This window comes from Homo sapiens, chromosome 4, assembly GCF_000001405.40.
Source record: "Homo sapiens chromosome 4, GRCh38.p14 Primary Assembly".
In the NCBI taxonomy this organism is placed as follows: domain Eukaryota; kingdom Metazoa; phylum Chordata; class Mammalia; order Primates; family Hominidae; genus Homo; species Homo sapiens.
The window spans coordinates 110510875-110532494 of record NC_000004.12 but is presented as its reverse complement, the minus strand read 5'-3'; the positions used below and the strand labels follow the sequence as shown (position 1 = coordinate 110532494).

Here is a 21620-nt window from a genome sequence, read left to right as displayed (position 1 = left end):
GATAAACAAATGGTGGTATATCCATATAATGGGATATGATTTGGCAATAAAAAGGAATGAAGTAGAGTTACATGCTATATCATGGATGAGCCTTGAAATCGTTATGCTAATTGAAAAGTCACAAAATACTGCATATACACTTTTATTTATGTGAAATGACCAGAAGAGACAAATCTATAGAGGTAGGGAATACATTAGTGGTTGCTTAGGGCTGGGCATATGGGAGGCTGCAGGCATGACAGCTAAAGGGTATGGGGTTTCTAAAACTGACTGTGGTGATGATTACACATCTGTGAATACACTAAAAAACACTGGATTGTACACTTTAAATAGGTGAATTTTATGGTATGTGAATTATATCTCAGTAAAGCTGTTCTTAAAAGGCAATCTACTGGAAACAGAGTAAAAATTTATTGGCCAGGAGAAATCATACCTCATTAATATTTTAAAATATTTTACATGAGCAACTAGGCATATGTAAATAAAGAATGAGTGATCTACTTTTATCTTCAAGAAGACACAAGTGAAAGTCCATACCAAATACTATTCTAAATCAAGTCCTCATGAAATGGGGCAAAGATGAGTCTGGTTTGTCTTAGAAAAGAAATAGTTTTGAAACACCAAAACAAATACAATGGAAAAAATATAAAAAGAAGGATTCTTTCCAAGATTGCAGCTAAAGCTTGCCTTATCTATTATTTTTTTCATCAATCTGGAATTTCGTGAGAAGGTTTACTTGTTTTTATACAACTCTAACATTTTTCAAGTAAGGAAAAAATAAATCAGTGCAGATAGAACACAAATATATTTCCAAAAAATGGTCTAATTTAATGGGAGCATTAAAAAAATCCTCAGGCTTGTCATATAACAGTTAAAGAAATTCAATGGCTTATCTGATAAAAGAAAAAACAAAAAGGAAGGAAGGAAGGAAGGAAACTTACACATTGATCTTCCAATTGTTGGGCATGCGACCCTTCTCCTTTGGATATGGGTATTTATGATAAATCAGTCAGTCAAGATAAATCATTGAAAAGAATATCTCAAGGTATAACAGTTCTGATTGTAGATGAAGATTTGGAATCATCAATAAATTATTTAAGAGATCACTTAGCTGAAGTTTACATAAGTTCCAGCTTTACTGTTGCATCTTTATACTTATATTAGTTTAATGTGGTACATCAATTCAAAGAAGAAATAAATCAATTAATAATATTTACCTTCTTTTTCTGACCTATTAAATAACACACTGCTTGTTATATTATCTTCAGTCCATTTAACTGGGATATTCCATGTATAACTAAAATTTTTTTAAAAAGAAAAATTTAACTTTTATTACTAAAAGATAAAATTTCAAGAGTAAAAATCACTAAAAAGCAATAGACAAGTATATTTTTCTTTTAAATGATTATCTAGTCCATACTACACAATTAATGTAGTTAATACAACATTTTAGTGATGAAGATAAGCTGTGTAACTGTTCTCAATTTCTATAAATCTATAAAATTTAGAAATTGCATCAAAAATTAGCTAAGCATGAAAAAGATTATTTCAATAACATGCTTTGGCATTTTAGAATAAAGATATTGCATAAATTACACAAATATAATACATCTTATTATAATATTGAACATTCACACACATACTTGCACACAGTCTAATATGCTACCATTTCCATCAAGGAACACAAAACATTTTTAGAAATTAGAAGACAAATAGTAAACTCTGTGAAGGAAATAACACATTTTAGAAATTATGCTGAAAGTCTACCACCACCATCATCCCCTAAAGCCTCTCATACCCTCCCCTAAATATCCCCTATTTAGAACTAGAACTGAAGTGCTCAAGGGAAGAATCATCAGGTAAGCATGTTTCAGGAGTTTTCAGTGCTTCTCTTTAGCTACTTAGTATTTTCCTGCAGAGTGGGTAGGTGGGAGTTAACTTTGTATTTTGATATATACACTTAACAGTTTTGTCTTGAAATCTCATTTTTTTTGGTTTGTTCTTATATCATCTCATATCAGAAAATGCAGATCTGGAGAGAAGGTGAATCTACGTACCATTGGCTGGTTTAGGTTTCAACTCAAAGTTGGTTTATCTGTCAACATTCAATTCCCTAACAGAGAATTAGGGTTAACATTTCACCTTTTCAAGATATAACAAAATGTATGTCATTCAAGGAGAATATATTTTTGCTATATACCTGAAAGAAGTAATCCCTTGTTTTATAACTATTGAAGTGTTTTACAGGATTGAGTTTTTTTAAAATCAGCTCCTTTGGAGCATTTTACTGCAGTGGAATGTTTTTGGCTATACGTTTCATAAAACCAACACATAAATTGCTTCTTGGGCCTTATAGTGGACACTGTCAGTGCTTCCTCCTTATCTCCTTAGACCCCTTTCTCTCTTTTTTTTTCTTTTTAGACGGAGTTTCATTCTTGTTGCCCAGGCTGGAGTGCAATGGCACGGACTCGGCTCACTGCAACCTCCGCCTACCAGGTTCAAGTGATTCTCCTGCCTAAGCCTCCCAAGTAGCTGGGATTACAGGCACCTGCCACCACACCCAACCAATTTTTTTGTATTTTTAGTAGAGACGGGGTTTCACTATGTTGGCCAGGTTGGTCTCGAACTCCTGACCTCAGGTGATCCACCTGCCTCGGCCTCCCAAAGTGCTGGGATTACAGGCATAAGCCACTGTGCCCGGCCCCCTTTGTCATTTTTGTACACCTTGGATACCAGTGTGCTTTCCCTGCCTACAATCAATACCTGGGTCTCTCTGACAGAGGACTGCCTTCCAGCTACCTGAGCAAGGAAAGCCAGAAGTTCCTGGGAATTTACGTCCTTCTGGATGTGGCCCTTAACAGTGAGTGACAGGTGTGAGAATGCTTCCTGCCCCATCCATCAGGAGCACTCTGAAGTATGATCTGCACTGGCTCCAGGACTTTCCTGCAGGACTAAGTCAAAGTTACTCTCTTCAGGACCTGCTTCATACAGCACCTTTGCTGGGCTTCCTTTCCTTCTCTATCCCACTGCCTGCTCCCCCACTGATCTTTCCTGGAAACACTTTCTAACAAGTCACTTTCACACACATGATCATTTCGGGGTCTGCTTCTAGGGACACCAAACTAAGAGCCCTTGCAGCTTCTCAGAAGACCGACAAAGAACATTCCTAAGATGCCACATCTTACCTATATACCTCACTTGCACTGGTCTGCTGAATTGGTGCTGCCATGTAAACTCACATTTTATGCTTCCTCTTCTTTCCCCAATGCCAATCTGACTGAAACAACAGAGCAGGCAGCGTCTGGATGACCTAGGCCCACAGTTAAGGTTTCCTATTTTGACTATCCTCTCTAAAACATGGCCTCTGGGACTACACCAGGCCTCAAAAGGGCAGAAGCTGTTCTCCTAATCTCATGTACAAAAATACTGCTCTGAGGTCTTTAAGAGTATCATAAGATAAAAATGATAGAAAGTTGAGGCTATACAATTTTATAGTTTTAGAATCACATGATCTAATGTAATCTAAGCTGAGTAAAATCACAGACTTGAGAGTATAAAATGTGAAGAAATGGAAATTACATAAATGAAACGATTGAGTTTTCTACATATTGGCTAACATTCAGGAGTATCAGGATTCATTTTTATAGACATAGTTCTTCACTATCTAACCATGTAAGAGGTTCTAGCAGTATGAAATATGGCCACTCTAATTTTCTCTAAGGAAACTGACTTTGATTGCACCAAGCTGACACACTTACTCCCATTCCCTCTGCCTGTTTACATGGAGTGGACTATCAAAGGCACATATGCTTTCCTGAGAGAGACATCCCGGGATGGAGATGTGAAACTGGCTCATTTCTAAGAGATGGTTGAGGACATGGTGTTAAAGCAATAACTTATACATGGGTGAGCCATTTGAATTATAAAAAGGTTCTAGTCAGTAAGAATTCCCTAATCTTGGATTATTTAAACAGTGAGAAAATATTTATAGAAGATCATTGAACTCACAGTACAACTTAACTGGCCACACTGTCTACCAAACAGGAACACATCTGAACAGAAAGTAGATGGAAGTTAGGATTGGAAAAAAAGCTAATTCCTTTATGGGTGCATGAAGGCATTTATTATGATCAAATTCTTCTTTTAAACAAAGAAGAATCCTTTTGCTATAATGGTTCTTTCTTATTTGTTCAGGAGCTACTACGGATTTTTAACAAACTTTCTCAACAGAGAAGAACCTCTTTTCTAAGTCTCTTTTCCTATGCATATATGACTTCTTAAAAAATAAAAATAGAATGAACATATTAACTTTATGATAAGCCATCACAAAAAAATTCATGCAACTAAGAATATAAATAAAATGAAAATAGTATCTGAAGGTGGAAACTGAAGACAAATATTAAAGACAGTATAAATGTGAATACAGTTCTATGTTCTAAGTCTTGGTGAATAAAATTTTAAAATTTACTGTTACAAAAATTGATTTTATACCGTGATGATATATTTAGTTCACTTGGCAGTAAAATTGTTTGGTTTGTGTGAAGAGAAATTCATAACCAACAAGCAGCTTGTAAAAATCCAACCCCATTAATTAAAAAAACTCCTTAGTTTAAATTGTTGACTGTCTTTGGCTTAAATTGTTGACTGTCTTTGGCTTAACAAATTAATGGATACATATGAGAGGAAGTAACAGTTACTGGGAAATTTTCCCAGTGTAAGTTTATTTCTCAAGAGAGAAATACTTTTTAAATTTTAATATCCAGAGGCTCCAGCAGTATTAAATAGTTAATCTAATTTGCTAGAACACAAAACAGTAACTATAAAAGAAACACTTTATAGTTGTTAGCAGAACTACCACAGAGATTATTCTATGATTTTCGTAGTTGAATTATCACCTGAAAACAAGTCAGATCTATGTTTCAATTCATGTATCATGAAGAGGAAAAAGTGAAAAACAAATGTTTTCTCCATCATCATCTAATCTTTCCTTTCTAAAATAAAGGTAAGGAGTACACTTACCTGCAGAGTTCAGGGAGTATACAGACACTCCCTGAAGGGACCTCATATTGGTCTAAGTAGTCAAATTTTCCTTTGTTGTGGTGTGACCTATTGATTTTCAGAACTCGCATTATAGCAGGATACCCAGTTTCTCTGAATGTCACTTAGTGTGGGAGGCTGGGTGTCTGAGGTTTCCAGGAAGAGAGGCCGGAAATGAGCCTCAACGAGTTGAGTACAACGGCTTTCTCAATGCTTCTCCAGTTCAGGTGTCAACTGGCATCTTGGAAGCAGCTAATTTAATAATTCTGAGAGTTCATCATTCTCTGATGCCTTGGAAAGTCAAGTGCTTCGGCAATTTTAATTTTTGGAAACACCTGAGTGTGCTGTAGTGTGACTTATTTCCCCAAGCCCTGAATTGTAATCCAGGAAACAGGCTCTGTTACCCCCCTTATAGAGTACCCATCATGAAATGAGACTATAAAGATCTTTCTCTTCTGAATAAATATGGCTACGATCACTGTGGTGCAAGATGAGAACAATATTCTAAAAGGAGATTGTTCTCCGCCAATTCACCTGATTGAATTCCTTCCACATTGTTCTTTAATTAGGAATTTTAGCTCAATAAAATCTTTGGAACATCTGCCATGCCCTCCAGCCCACAGCCACTCCTACCTAGCCCAGGCTTATTGTTTCCATCAACTATCACGTGGGCTGCTCATTGCAATATTGTCCTAACTGGTCTCCCTGCCTCCACTCCTCCCCAACTGCCCAGGATCTGTGATCAGTTCTCCACAGTGCAGCAAGAGGAGAGCTTTGAAAAATGTAAATGTGACCCTGCCAATTCTCTCCTTAAAATCCTTAAATTTGCATACTATTTTCAAAATCTTTAACATGGTCTGCATACCTGGTTCCTGCCTTCCTCTTCGTCTTCACCTCACACCACTTTTCCCAGTCACTCTCTGCTATCCCGTTTCTTGGAACCAGACTGCCTGGGTTTACATCAAGCCTCCATTATTTACACTGTGTGACCTTGAAATTACTTAATCACTTTTACCACAAATTCCTCATTTACTATAAAATAAAATGCATCTGAAGTGCTTAAAATAGTGCCAACCACTTGGTCAATGTTCAATAAGTGTTGTAAATCATGTGTATAAGACTTTGGGCTTTCATATACGCTGTAATTTCTGTTTTGGGGCGGGGGGTTTGTTCTGTTTTTTTCAGACAGAGTCTCACTCTATCACCCAGGCTGGAGTGCAGTAGCATGATCTTGGCTCACTGCAGCCTCTGCCTCCCAGGTTCAAGCGAGTCTCCTGCCTCAGCCTCCCGAGTAGCTGGGATTACAGGTGTGTGCTACCATGCCCGGCTAATTTTTGTATTTTCAGTAGAGATGGGGTTTCATCATGTTGGCCAGGCTGGTCTCAAACTCCTGACCTCAAGTGATCCACCCACCTAGGCCTCCCAAAGTGCTGGGCTTACAGGCATGAACCACCACGCCCGGCCATAGTTTCTATTTTGAACATCCAGAGAAGTCACTTCCCCACACCAATTTGCTCACCTTAAATATCACATCCCTGGAAAAGAAAGCCTTCTGTGACCCTCCCTGCCCTACTCCACCTCCTGCTTCCCTCTCCCAATTAATTGAGGCTCAGCAAATCAGTGGACTCATATAGTAAGAGAGAATAATTACTGTGAAACTTTCCAAATGGAAGCTTGTTTGACAAGAGACATATTTTTAGATTTAATATCCAAATATTCCAGTGGTTATTAGAGTTGGCCAACCTAATTTGCTAGAACATAGACCAGTAACTATAAAGGAACCAGTTTAGAGTTAAAGACTTTCTAAAACATCTTTTTGTGTTATTCTAATTGCTACAAGATAATTGATCTTACAATAATTTATATATGTGACTATAAAATAATGTCAATGAAGTCATTAAGGAGAAAAAGAAGACAAAGTGTCTCTTCAGTGACAATCAGGCAGTGGAGATTAGAGGACACGTGGGTGGGAACGGGTGAAGATTCTCTCTGCTCAAGCAAAGCATTCAAATGTTGAAAGAGGGGGCAATAAAAACTGGGCATGGGTGAAATGGGAACAACGTCCAGAGGACTAGTGATGTGCTACGCTGCCAGTATCCACTCTAGGAGGGGCTCAGCTGGGTAACCCGGGCTAGGAAGATGTCCCCAGAGTGGTACATCCCAGCTCCTGGGGCCAGGCCCGGGACTGGAGTTCCTGAGATTTTGAATTTGTTTCCTTCAGATGGGAGCAGCTGGCACCCAAGAAATACATACAAAAATAACGATTTAGTTATGCAGAAATGTTTATAGTATTAAGATTTTTGTGCAAGTTGTATTCATGCAGGTGTGATAAGTTTTGAAATCCTCAGCTGTGCTTTGCATGCTTTATCAGCCTTTACAATATATAAAACATTTTTTAAAATTTGAGGTCATCTGCGATGGCTCACACTTGTAATCCTAACACTTTGAGAGGCCAAGGCAGGAGGATCGCTTGAGCTCAGGAGTTTGAGACCAGCCTGAACAACCTTTTCTCTACAAAAACTTTTTTACACATTAGCTGGGCATGTTGGTGAGCACCTGTAGTCCCAGTTACTTGGGAGGCTGAGGTGAGAAAATCACTTGAGCTCAGGAGATTGAGGCTGCAGTAAGCTATGATTTCACCAATGCACTCCAGCCTATGTGATACAGCAAGACCCTGTCTCAGAAAATAAATTAAATAAATAAATACATTTGGCAAAGTAGAGAAAATGACATACTGGAATTGTTTTAATTGAAATACTTAGAAAATCTTAACTCAGTAGCCATATTTAAATGTCTAGAAAAATCCTGTTAAGGGTTTGATTTTTAACATAATGAAAATGTGCAAGAAATTTGATACACTATATTTGAGTTTTAATTTGTTGGATTCATAAAATATATAGAAAAAATTTTAATTAGACTTATAAATCTGCTTCTTTGGTGGTGTTTGTATTTTGAAATTGTAAATGAATTCGGTAAAATTTTAGCTAGTGTTGTTTAGAAGAATTTGGTTACATTTATAAGTTTCTTGTAAGTGATATATCCTTAAGAGGACTTGATTAAGTTTGTAAGTGCTGTTTAAATGCTCAGGAGAATTTAATGTGTGCAATTTGTAGATAAATTCATCACTACTCAAAAACTTAAAAAGTTAGTGTTGAAAAACCACCATCTCCTTACTCACCCTTCCCACAGGCCAGCCCTGCTCGGAAGCATCCCCTATTAAGTGATCTGGTTTTAGTGCTTTTGTAGTCTAATTGGACTTTAAATGCCTCTGTTGTTTTATTTAGACAATATTTATTAACTTACCCATTAAAAGAGGGTGATTGAGCTTATATATATATTACTTTCTCTTCCATTTCTCTTTTAATATAAAATTTAATAAAATAAAATTATTTTTAGATTTTCTGTAGTTTGTAATTGTGCCTCTAAATAATATACTCATACTGCCATTTCTTGCTTCATAAATTTTAGTCTTAACTACTCTCCTGACTTAAATGAGGATATCCACTGGAGTACTGGTAAATGTTTAACACCCAGTTTTCATATGGGCAAAACGTAGTATTTGCTCATTTCCACGTAATACTCCCATCAGGAGCATTTTCAAGCTACCAACATGTCACTGACAAGAAAATGTTACTAAGTTGGGAAGACAGCCGTTCCTGCACACCACTGAAGTAGTATCCCAACACTTTCTCCCACCTTTTCTCCCTCTTCCATGTCCTTTTTTTGTCAGTTGATTTTTCTTGTTACAATGTCAAGACTTTATATTTGCAATTTATTCTGCCACCATAACAAAAATGTTTACATTTTCCATTGGCTGATTATAAAGTTAAAAGTCAATACCTAATATTTATGAAATTATAGCATGTATATTGTATATAGTGTTGGTCAAGGAGTGTGGGGAGATCTATTTCTTACACCATGGTCCAATTTCATGGCCCCTGAGCCACTTAAGTAAAATTTCTCTAATATCAGAGCCTTTTCTTATACTGTATCAATGGCATAAAATCATTCTATCTGCTTCATATTTTTGTTATTTTTTAATAAAGAAGAGAGGTTTAATTTACTCACAGTTTTGTACGACTGGGGCAGCCTCAGGAAACTTACAATCATGGCAGAAGGGGGAGAGGGACATTTTACATGGCGGCAGGTGAGAGAGAGCAAGCAAGAGCAGGGAAAATGGCCTTATAAAACCATCAGATCTTGTGAGAACTCCGCTTCATATTTTTGGATCATAATTTTTATATATAGTCTTTGATTTGGGTTTTTTCTAATTTTCTTTTTTATAGTTGACCAAACGGATGGGCTTTCACCAAATCCTCAAGTTTTTTTCATCTTCCCAACCGCACTACCCACTGGAGAGAATTTCTCTTTTTCCTGGAGATCGCCTACCTCAGCTCCAGTCATCCTGCCCTTACAGGCACTCACAGCACCCTGAGCATTTCCTTTCGTGGTTTTCCTAGGTTGGATGTACCGTTTCCTGGATCCTGTGTCCCATGTATTTCACTTTTTTTTTATTTATTCATATCCTCCCTTCTTTTCTTTCTCTTTCTCCTCCAACCCCCAAAACCCTTTCTAAAGTGCAGCCTTAAGTAACTTTCAAAAAAGTGTTATGTGGAAATCATTTTCTGGGGCTGCATTTCTGAAAGCGTCTTTAATGTACTTTCACACTTGGTTTAATTTTACTGGGTATAGAACTAGAGGCTGAAAATATTTTTTGCTTCAGTGTTTTGGAAGCATTGCCTCATTCGCTTCTTGCATTCAGGGTTGATGTGGAGAAGTCTAATGCCACACTAACTTATGTCTCTGTTTTCTGAAATTTTGTGAGGGTGTATCTACGTATGTTTTGGGGTTTTGGTTTTTCCTGTTTGTACTGTTTACTAAGTGGGGTCTGTTAATCAGAATCCTTGTGTCCTCTATTATGTATTTGATATTATTTGCCTCCAAGTTTCTCTGTTTTCCTTTTAAAGAACGCCTATTGGCTGAGCACGGTGGCTCACACCTGTAATCCCAGGAGTTTGGAAGGCCAATGTGCATGGATCATGAGATCAGAAGATCAAGACCATCCTGGCCAACATGGTGAAACCCCATCTCTACTAAAAAATACAAAACTTAGCTGGGTGTAGTGGCGTGTACCTACAGTTTCAGTTACTCAGGAGGCTGAGGGAGGAGAACGGCTTGAACCCGAGAAGCAGAGGTTGCAGTGAGCGAACATCCTGCCATTGCACTCCAGCCTGGCGACAGAGTGAGAGTTTGTCTCAAAAAAAAAAAGAATCCTATCTAGTCCAGGCACAGTGGCTCACGCCTGTAATCCCAGCACTTTGGGAGGCTGAGTGGGTGGATCACCCGAGGTCAAGAGTTTAAGACCAGCCTGGTCAACTCGGTGAAACTCCGCCTTCACTAAAAATACAAAAATTAGCCGGGTGTGGTGGCATGCACCTGTAATCCCAGCTACTTGGGAGGTTGAGGCAGGAGAATTGCTTGAACCCAGGAGGCACAGGTTGCAGTGGGCTGACATTGCGCCACTGCACTCCAACCTGGGTGACAGAGTGAGACTCTGTCTCGAAAAAAAAAAAAGCCAAAAAATAAAAACACCTATCTGTTGGGTGCTAGACTGTTCATATTTGTCTTCTCTTTTATATTTGCTAGCTCTATGTGTGTTTGCCCTGTATTTTTGGAGGATTTGCCAAATTTATTTTTAGTTGGTCTATTAATTCTTTTGAGAATCAGAAATCTAATCTTTCAGGTTCTTTTGTGTTCTCAATTTGTCCTTTCTAAGACATTCTGCTCCTGGTTCATTGGTGTAATAGTTCTTCATCTCTGAATGCATCTCATACATTTATTTTGTTTCCTTAATTATGCATCTTATAAAGTCAGGAGTTGTTTGTTCACATGAAATTTTAACCTTTTATCCTTCCAAATTTTTTCATGTATCTTGTGATCTTTGTCATTCATATTTAAGAAAGAGTTAAATTGATTCTAGTAGCTGGCGTGTACTCTCTCTATTATCGAGAAGGGATTTTATACATACATATATGTGTATATATATAATTATTTATTTTATTTTATTTTATTATTTTTAGGGATGAGCTCTTGCTCTGTCACCTAGGCTGGAGTGCAGTGTTGTGATCATGGCTCACTGAAGCCTCAAACTCCTGACTTGAGATGACTCAAGTCGTCTTCATGCCTCAGCCTCCTGACTAGCTAGGACTACAAGCATGAACTACCATACTCCAGTGCCTTTTTAAAAATTTTTTGTAGAGACAGGCTCTTGTTATGTTGCCCAGGCTGAAGGGAGTTGTATTTTTGAAGTAAGTTTCTCTGCTGAGCAGAAGGTCTGACTGGGAGCTCTGCCTGTGTGTATGAGGGGTGCTGTCAGCTCCAGCCCACCCATCCTGCAAATAACATAATGAGGGAGGCTTTACTCTGAGAGTCTCAACCAAATGGAAATCCTTAGCTCTCCTCTACTGTTTTAGTCAATTTCTTTAGGAAACAAGCCCACTGTATTTTTTCCTGGAGCCATTGCCAGATTTCTGAGAGCTGTGTGCAGAGAAAGAAATGGTAGGTGGCGGAGAGAAAGTAGGGGTGAGGGGTGGGTCCAGCTGGCACAAATTGTCCTGAGACTAGACTTTCAATTCATTGTCCTATTTCCAGCCTCACTTCTCACTCTTACCCTTCAGTCTTCATGCTAACACTGTACCTAGAACCTGTCTAGGGATAGGGAAGTTCCCTTATTATTATCTGGTTGTATTTTCCTCAGTCTGTATTTCTCCTTCTGCTTTACTTCTTCAGAACTCTGTGACACTTACAGCCCCTCCCTTTATTTTCTTTATTCTTGTAGGTTTATTTCTTTAGGTAATTCCATTCCTCTCTTCAATATCTGTAAAGAACAGGATGCGGATGGATGTGCTCTGCCCACCATTTCAAACCTGGAAATCACTTGGCTATTTTTGAATTCCTTGTTCCCCTAAAGGCACTGTGGCTTTATACTTGTATATCACTCATCCATCATGTACTCAACAATAGGATATAAACAAATTACCAATATTTCTGCCAAATTTCTGTGTTTTTTTCAATGCATTATAGAGCCTTACCCAAGATCTGAAGGGGGCTGAGAAGGGTTAGCTCTTGGGTCCAACAAAAAGCGTTTCTGTGTGATGTTCTTGACACCGTTCACGTTAAGCACAGGATAACCCATCTGTCTGGTCCAGGTGTCCATTACTTCTTTCACTGGTAGCCTACTTGCCTAAGATTGAAAACAAAATGGAGATTAATTAATTAACAAATATGAGAAAATAAAAGGATAGAATAGTTAGATTAGAAAATGATTGGTAAGCCATTTGTAAATCAGACAAAGAAATATTTGGGGACATATACTCTTCCTTACCTCTTCCAGTGCTGCCCAAAAATCAGAAGTTTTTGCATTCTTGAATTGGTATTTTTCCAAGTACATCTGTGTGTAAAAAATAATCAGCATGTTAGAAGTCAATGTTTGCTTTTCTCATACTTTCACAAGATGAACTGAACCCCTGCTACTCAATTCTACCTCCATTGCGCAAAACCAGCCATAGATAACATGTACATGAATGAGCACGGCTGTTGCATTGATATTTGAATTCCATACAATGTTCATGTATCATAAAATATTCTTCTTCTTTTGATTTTTTTCAACTATTTAATAATGTGGAAACCATATTTAGTTTATGAGCCTTAAAAAAAATACATGGATGGTGGGCCAGATTTGGCCAGCAGACAGTAGCTTGCTGATCTCTGCTCTAAGGAAATAAATATACAACCTTTTGAATAATAATGATGATGATGGTGGTGGTGGTGGTGGTGGTGGATGAATTGGGGACATTATTCACTGTAAAGCATAAGTCTTCACTCTTCAAATATTTTAAAGTACAAGTCTTTTAGATTTAAGCTTCTTTTGGCAATTTTCTTTACAAAACCTCTTTCTATATGTGAGTTTTCAAATATAGTGTGATTTATCCCCAGAAAAAATTCCCAGTCTTCTAATCCCGTAACTGGGAGCCACTTGGAGTTTGCCAGTAAACTTTCCTAAGTTCCTGCTGTATCACTCCTCTGTTGCTTTCTAGAATTGTCCTGACTGAAAGTGGAGGTCTTTGATAGAAAATGGAACCATCTTCAGTGTTCTTAATGTTAACTTTGCACATATCATTTTCACTCTAAGTTGCTATAATTTTCAGTAGGTGCTGTACCTAAATCACGTTACCTCCTAAATTCCTCTTCTTTTCAGACATAGAGATAAAACAGTATTAGAAGGACTCCAAGAAGCCTGGAAGAGGGATGAAGCCACTTTGGAATGCTGCCTCCATATTTGTTCTTTTGGTTAATTCACTTCTTGGCACTACCACCAGAGGGCAGGCAAAGGAAGGGAGAAGCAGCAATCACTTTTAGGTATTCATTACAGAAAGTTGCACAAATCATTCATCATATCTTAATAAAATAATTGAATATTTGGTAAATCAAATGTCTAATATTTTTAAATAATAATAATTGAATACTTGGCATAGTAATAGTTATAACCATAGCTGTGTTTTGATGACAATTTCTATTGAATATCTTTTAAAATTAATTTAGAGGAGTTTGACTACTACAAGGTCTTGAGCTTAGAACCATGCAATCGTGGAACTGGAAGGGACTTTAAATATTATTTAATAAAGCTCCCACATTTTGAGGTGAAGGAAACTGCTCTCCCTAACTACCTGGGTGCCTTCAGAGGTGAAGAGATTTGCCTGAGATTATGATGAGGAGAATTCTGAACCCTGGATCAGTGTGTGTGGTTTTCATCACTGTTATTGTTGTTACTGCTTTTAAAATTGCAGTTTCTTGCTTCTCATGAACCACAGGCTGAATGGAAATTTATGTAATCAGCATATTAAAAGGTACTAATTTTATATTGTCTAGATTAGTGCTTTTGAATATTCTATATTAAGACACTTCCCTCTTCACCTTGAATAATCATGTAATCATTCAAGTCAAAATTACACGATGACCTAGGTCACAGTTCATTATTAGTTGGAATCAGTGAGCACAAAAGGAAACGAACAATGTTTCTGTTACTAGTATCCCAAGAAGGGAAAAGACATTTTCCAGCTGACCCATTCCTGTCTTATTGACAGTACTACTGATACTAGAAGAAAAAGAAAGGAAGAATATATTCTCGGTTTCTATTTCATGACCACATATTGTTATGAATGTCCCCTTCTCTATTACATCTTTTATGTACATGTATAGCCTTAAAGATTTTCCAGTTGATAATTTTGCTCTTATTTCCCCCATCCTGCACCTATTTTGCTGTTTGAGGTTGAGTTTGGGGCAAGGTGATGAGCATGAAAGAGAATAGACAAATGGCCAGCCCCAGATTTAGTTCCACACCAGGTTAGCTAATAAAGAGTCACTTTGGGCAGAAAGTTAGTATTTGCAACAGAAATACCTTGAACTCCCATTCATAGCCTGTGGGATTTCAGGGCAACAATCATAGAGTGATGATGACAACTCAAGGAGGATATTGTTGGGATGCTCAAACTATGTGAACTATGGAACTATGTTCCAGTTGGTCTGAGGGTTTATTGGATGTGGTCCATATCGATCATATACTATTTTCAGATATTAGCTAGTGTTTGAAGATTGAAGGAAAAGGGTGTTTGGGTGTTTTGTGTAAATTCATTCCATAGCACTATAATGGCATGAAATATTAATATCTATTCTTCATAGTTCAGTTTTTAGCACCATCTGTGATCACAGTTAAAGGAAGACTTTTAACTTAAGAATTATTAATTTTAGACAAAACCGGTTTTTTAAATTAATTATAACATAGATACTAGGTTAAAGGAAATATGAGAGTTTTATGGAATTATTAGGATAGCTATTCATTTTCAAGGAATCTTAGTACTTCTCTATCAAAGTCAATATGAAAGATTATTTAATTTGAAGCCAGCTCTGAAGATGCCAAAATTGTTATTTATTAATTACAATTTAATTTAGAATCAAAACTATACAAACTGAATTTTAACTTAATTTTTGAAAATGAATCTTCTTTATTTCTATGTCCTGTATAATTTATTATAGGCTATTCACTCATTCATTCATTTAACAAACATTTTCAGGATGACGTAACATGTGTAATTAAACTAGGCCCTGCAGTATGGGTAAAGATATAGAAGACAGAGTCCCTGATTAAAGATGCTTACAATGGGCAGGGCACAGTGGTTCATGGCTGTAATCCCAGCACTTTGGGAGGCCGAGGCGGGCGGATCTCTTGAGCTCACAAGTTCAAGACCAGCCTGGGCAACGTGGCGACACCCCGTCTCTACTAAAAATATAAAAATTAGCCGGGTGTGGTGGTGCCTGTAATTCCAGCTACTCGGGAGACTGAGACATGAGAATCGCTTGAACCCGGGAGGCAGAGGTTGCAATGAGCCAAGATCACGCCACTGCACTCCAGCCTTGGCGACAGAGCGAGACTCTGTCTCAATAACAATAATAATAATAATAATGCTTACAGTGAGGGAATATATGATAACATTTGAGTTTGAAACTTATGGAAAAGTTACAAGATGTTCTCATGATGCAGAAGCACAAGCACATAGCTTCTCTCTTTGCACCTAATGTCTCTACAAAATATTTTACTAATAGACAAAGGGTTAAAATATACTGATATACTTCCAAATATTTCCGAAATCTTGACTTTATTTCTTACTTTAATAATCACCTAGATGTTTCACTATTGGGTAGAAGGGGGCCGTTTTCTTTTAGAGTAGTGTAGAGAGGGCTAAATGCCACATAAGAAGGCTTGATGGGAGTGAGATCTATGTGAATGGTGACCTTCTCCTGGGGAATCACATACAGAAGAAGTACTTTCTGTGGCAGCCAGCAGGGGGCATTTCTCCAACCTGTTTTCTGCTCTCTGGGATGAATACCGTCAGCACTGCTACTCCTGACTACCTGGGTTATCGCAGCAGGCAGGATGTAGGTGGAAGGGAAAGAGTAGGAAGAGAACTTCATTTCTAGGCTGGAATGGGGCCAACCTGCAGAGACGGCAGTTATAGGGACACATTGTAGCTACTTTGATAAAATTAAAAATAAAAACAAACCTGGGACGATTGGCTTAGGGTCTGTTAGAAAAACGAAAATGAAACAGAAACATCTCCTGGAATAATACGCTTAAGTGGGATGTGTGAAATGTTTCAGAAAGTTTATTGTCATTTCTGTTACCAAAAGGAAGCAAGCCTCTTTATTCACTGACTCCATTGTAATAAGCATACTAATATTGATCTTTTCTAATCTAATAATAAGGGAAAAGTCTTGTACTCAGTATAAGGAATGACCTTTATAGATAAATTTAGATGTTTATATCATGTTGCTATGGAAAGAATCGTATTCCCTGAAATTCATATAAGCCCTAACCCCCAGTGTGATAGTATTTAGAAACGAAGCCTTTGGGAGCTGTCACATTTAGATGATATCGTGAGGCTGGGACTCTTATGGTGGAACCAGTATCCTTATAAGAGACACCAGAGTGCTCTCTCTCTCTCCCTCTCTCTCTCTCTGCTATGAGGACACAGTGGGAAGTCTACCATCTGCAAGCCCGGAAGAGAGGCTTCACCAGAAACGGAATCAGCCAGCACTTTGATCTTGGACTTTCCAGCCTCCATAACTGCAAGAAAAATGCATTTCTATTGTTTAAGCCACCCAGTCTATGGTATTTCCTTATGGCAGCCCAAGCTGACTAAGACACATGTAAGGAGTTTCAAAAATAACTAAGTAATCTGTTTCAACTTCTCCATGAGACTTCTGCTAAATGATCATTACAGATACAATGTAGGTACTCAATTGGATGTAAAATCATGTTTTTATCTTTTGCTATATTATCTATGCCTCAGTAAAGAGATTAAAAAGGAAATTATCCTTGATTAATCACATATCTTAACATTCACCAGCCACATATCAATGTAGTTTAATTTTGATATCACTAAAAGTAATAAATCATACCTGACATCCTTTTTGAAAATTCTCTGGTTTTATCCAGTCTTCAAGCATTCTCAAAATAGAAGATCCCTACAATGGGGATAAAAAGACAAATGAAACTAATAAAGGCTATGTAAGGAACAATGATCAGTTATTACTCTTGCAACTAGTATTTCATGATCATATTTGTGAGATTAGTTCCTCAAGATGATTCTGCTAAATTATATGGCTCTATGATTTTAGGATGAAAATACCACTTGGCACAGTCCCTGTATCTATGCATCTAAAATAACTAAAAGGTAAAGAGAAATTGCTAAAATGGCCATCATTTCAGGGACTTCAGATTCAAATAATTATTGCACTTCCCCAAATAAACCAGCAGATGGGGCTTTCTTAATGAAAGAGAAATAGTCTAAAAAATCACATTCTTTGATGAATGAGGAAAGTAGTTTCAGGGTAAAATTCTGCCAACTTATTAAATATATTTTCATATTTGAAAATAAGAATTATATTTAGCAGAGGGAAGTAGATAGTCAAGGAATTATCTGGTCAAATAGCTTAATATACATGGATACATAATTTAGGCATATAATCTTTCTCTTCTCAGTAGTCTATCTCATTTGCTTTCCTTTCATCTGAAGAATCTGATGAACATCTTGGCTCTGTACTTTCTTTTTATGTGTTATAAGGTTAGTACTGAAATGCACAATTTGTAATATTTTAAATCAATTTTCAAGTAACTGAATGAAAAAAGAACACTGCCCCCACTTAAATTAGTAATTTTTATTGTAAGTTATTAAGCATTCTAAATTAATTTTATACCTATTTAGAAAGCTAAAGGCCTAGAAACATTTATTTATCTTGGACATAATATCTTAAACCTGAGGAGTATCTAGGACTAAGGGGAAAAATGATTGAATAAATTTAAACTTCTCCCATGTGAATAATTAGAATAGGCTATAAGTGGATTCGAAATTTTCATTTCGACATAAAGATAAAAGGAATCATTCATAATATCAAAGAAAAATGAATACAAGAAGGCTGAACATACACCATGGGAATCATATGAGAGGGAAAGTCAAAAATATGATGCTAAGAATTTCAAATGCTAATACATAGAAGCTTTTTCACTCAAGTATTCATTTTAATAATTATAATATTTTTGACTCAAATAAGACTTTAGGTATTACTCAGGATAACAAAATGTATTAGCATGCAGTAGCTTCTAAGCATCTCAGTGTAGTGGGAAACCCATGAGAAGCTGAAGTAGAAAATGACTAAAATAAAATTTAAATTATGTTACATACAGATGTGGAATATGTTTGAAGGAGAGACTATATGAAATATTGTGGGACAGAATGTGTCACATAAATCTTGGAGTTACAGATTTCCAGCAACTTTTCATAAAATATTAGTGAAGAAAAAATCCTCACCTACAATATGCTAACAAATTCATCTTTACATCTTCTAAAAAGGAATAAAAGTATTTCCTTCTGAGTTGGATTTAAATGTTTATTGCAGGCATTAAAATGTTCTACTAGGAAAGCTGTGCACATATACAGCATTTCTTGTTGACCACATAGAAGAAAAAGATTTATTGTCTTTTAAAAAATCAAATAAAACAATTTGAAATGTGATGCTTCAAGTCTAAATATTAAATTATCAGAATGAAAATAATTATATACAAATGTGTAAAGAGAAATTCTTAAAAATCTCTTTTAAAATTCTGTGACAATGACCAGCACTAAATTATACTGAAAAGTACAAACTATTGAATATTCAGCACTCAGAATAACTTCTACACTGTTTTCCAAAGCTCACTGGCACAGTGTGACCATTCTTACCATTTTTAGGTATCCACTAAAAGAAAAGTCACTAAACAGGAAGATGTTCAAAACAATGTTCTATTTCTCCCACCTTGCTATAGGATATTCCATCAAAAACAGATGTTATTTCATCAGGGGTTGTCACAGTCACAATAATTGGATGCGAAGACATCAAAGAATCATCCTCTTGAACAGGTAATACATCTTCAAGTAACATTTGGTCACGCTGAAATGAAAGAATGAGCCAAAGGAATATAGTATTTCCTTTATACTAGTTTATAAACTAAAATACCATATATAAGAAAAATTGGAGGAAAATAAATATAAATGACTTAAGTTACTTAAACATTAGGTCTTCAAATTAATCATACTTTGCACTGATTGAGCTATATTGATTTCATGCCCTTCTTCTACTTCTAATTCCTTTTAATTTTCCCCCAGATGACAGGCCGAGAAGACATCAACTTCTGTGAATTCTGCTTCTGCGACTTCTGTGTGACTTTTGGATATGTGCCAAACTTTTCAAGCCCTATTTCTATATCTGTGCAATGAGAATGATGACATCACTCCACAGATTTGGTCTAAGAATTAAGAGAGGTTGCATATCAATTTGCCAAATATTGATGTTCAGGTTTTTCTAATATTAACTTGTTATTGGAATTTGGATACTTCATAATTAATGAAAGAAAATATTGGCAGTTTATCCTTTAGTTCTAATCACCTCTCGTTTCCCTCCTAGGTCTTGTCAGCAATACAGACTGGTTGACAGGCCTAGCAGTACTGTCAGATTTCCTTGGTTCAAAGCTCAGTCTTTTTACTTTCTAGATATATAAGTTTAAGCAAGTTTCCTCACCCATTAAATAGAAGTAATTATGGCCTGTACTTTTTGGAACTGTGCACAGGACTCAGTGATAAAATTCATGGTTAGTACTTGGCATAGTACCTGGCACAGAATGAGAACCTAACCCATTAGCTGCTATAGTTATTTTGACTCTTAAGCAGTAAGATTCTGAAATCTAACTCTGCTAAATCACTACTAACTTTAAAAATTTCATTGGCTCTACTTAATTAAAAATATTTCCAAAACAGGAGTATGTTGTATTGGCTTACATTTTCCAATTATGCGGGTTTCATTTATAACAGGAAAGGTACTGCTGTCAAGTGATGACTGCCAATCAAGATAATTTTGACTTGCATTTTGATTTTTGTATACCTAGGAAGTTTAAGTATGGTGAGTAGAAAGATCCTGTTCTCAGTGTGAGGAAGATTGACTATACCAGCTGTGTGTGTGATTTTGGATTTTGCTACCAGCTGTGTGTGTGATTTTGGATTTTGCTACCACCTATCTCTGTGATGTTGGAAAATTCTATCATTTTCCTGGCCTTCCGATTTTTCACCAGTGAAACGAGGTATTCCATGATTGTGGTATTTATTGAGCTCGCTTATAAAATATCTTTATCTATCTGACCCTTCCATCCACAAGACCTTAAATTGAGAACTCCTTAAGGGCAAGAAGTGTATTTTATTCATTATTCATTTTGGAGTCCTCCATTTGCTGAATGAAGAATGAATGAATGGGCTGGGCTCGGTGGCTCACGCCTGTAATCCCAGCATTTTGGGAGGCCAAGGCAGGCAGATCACCTGAGGTAAGGAGTTCAAGATCAGCCTGGCCATCATGGCAAAACCCCATCTCTACTAAAAATATAAAAATTAGCCAGGAGTGGTGGCGAGGGCCTATAGTCCCAGCTACTCAGGAGGCTGAGGCAGGAGAATTGCTTGAACCCAGGAGGTGGAGGATGCAGTGACCCGAGATTGCTCCACTGCACTCCAGTCTGGGTGACAGAGTGAGACTCCATCTCAAAAAGGAAAAAAAAAAAAAGGAATGAATGAATAGATGAAGGAATGAATTAATTGTTGTGTTGAACGATGTGATTAAATTTCACTTAAGAAGTGCACAGCAAATTCTTCTGGAATTTAGCCATTGCTTTTGAAACACAGTACTTGGAATATTAGACAATATTAAAATGTTATAATTTCTTATAACAGTTTGCTATAAGGGCCTCAGTATACTGTATGGGAGAAAATAAAGGACAACACAATTTTCCATTTATACAGTTTATTTTCAATAAATTATAAAATCAGCAATTTTCCATGTAGATGAGTAGTTTTCAACTGGAGGAGATTTTTGTCCCCCACGAGACAGCTGGAAATATGTGGAGACATTTTTAGTTGTCACAACAGGGGCTGGCAGGTTACTGGCATTTAGTTAATAGAAGTCTGGGATGCTAAGTATCCTATAACGCACAGGAAAGTCCCGCACAAAAAAAGAATTATCTACTCCAAAATGTCAATAGTTCCATAGTTGAAAAAAATCCAGATGTAGATAAGATTTTTAAAGAAGTAATTGTTGTAAATTAGGCTTTTCGCTTTGTAAAGCAGGCTACAGAAACTGTAAGGGCTTCAAGCATTTAACTTTTTTGTTCTGTCCAGTAGAGGGCAGTATTTTACACAGTACAAAACCTCTTGTAATTAGACACATCCACCTATTTGCACATTCATATATGCAATCAAGAATACTCCCATGATATAAATATAAATAACAACTATACCTAGCTTTTCTGAAAAAAAATTTTAGGGTTCATAAAAGTTTCTATTCCAGGCCTCTGAGGGACACACTACCTGTTAATAGTCATTACATGCACATTTGGGAGCTTTTAAGCTTACAAGATAGAAAATAATGTTCTATTTCATAAAGGAGAAAATGGA

At 36.7% G+C, this 21620-nt stretch overlaps 1 protein-coding gene across 7 annotated transcripts in view, besides 1 other annotated feature; it reads right to left on the bottom strand.

Moving 5' to 3' along the window:
- The window catches only part of ENPEP (glutamyl aminopeptidase), an 89131-nt gene that overhangs the window by 32791 nt on the left and 34720 nt on the right, over positions 1–21620 (bottom strand). For all 7 annotated transcript variants that reach the window (NR_166842.1, NR_166844.1, NM_001977.4 and 4 more), the window contains 5 exons: positions 18946–19080; positions 17053–17118; positions 12422–12487; positions 12129–12280; positions 1218–1297 (listed from right to left, as the gene is read on the bottom strand). Coding sequence is in view for 5 of the 7 variants with exons in the window: in NM_001977.4 (NP_001968.3) it covers positions 1218–1297; positions 12129–12280; positions 12422–12487; positions 17053–17118; positions 18946–19080 (499 nt within the window). In the remaining 2 variants the exon portion in view is untranslated. The remainder of the gene's footprint in view (positions 1–1217; positions 1298–12128; positions 12281–12421; positions 12488–17052; positions 17119–18945; positions 19081–21620) is intronic.
- Positions 17393–17562: an enhancer, noted in NCBI's record as "experimental_72004 CRE fragment used in MPRA reporter constructs". NCBI's record gives its function as "activates a minimal promoter by MPRAs in K562 erythroleukemia cells, with activity observed for both the introgressed and non-introgressed 4:111436174 variant alleles {active_cell/tissue: K562}" and the evidence as "EXISTENCE:reporter gene assay evidence [ECO:0000049][PMID:34662402]".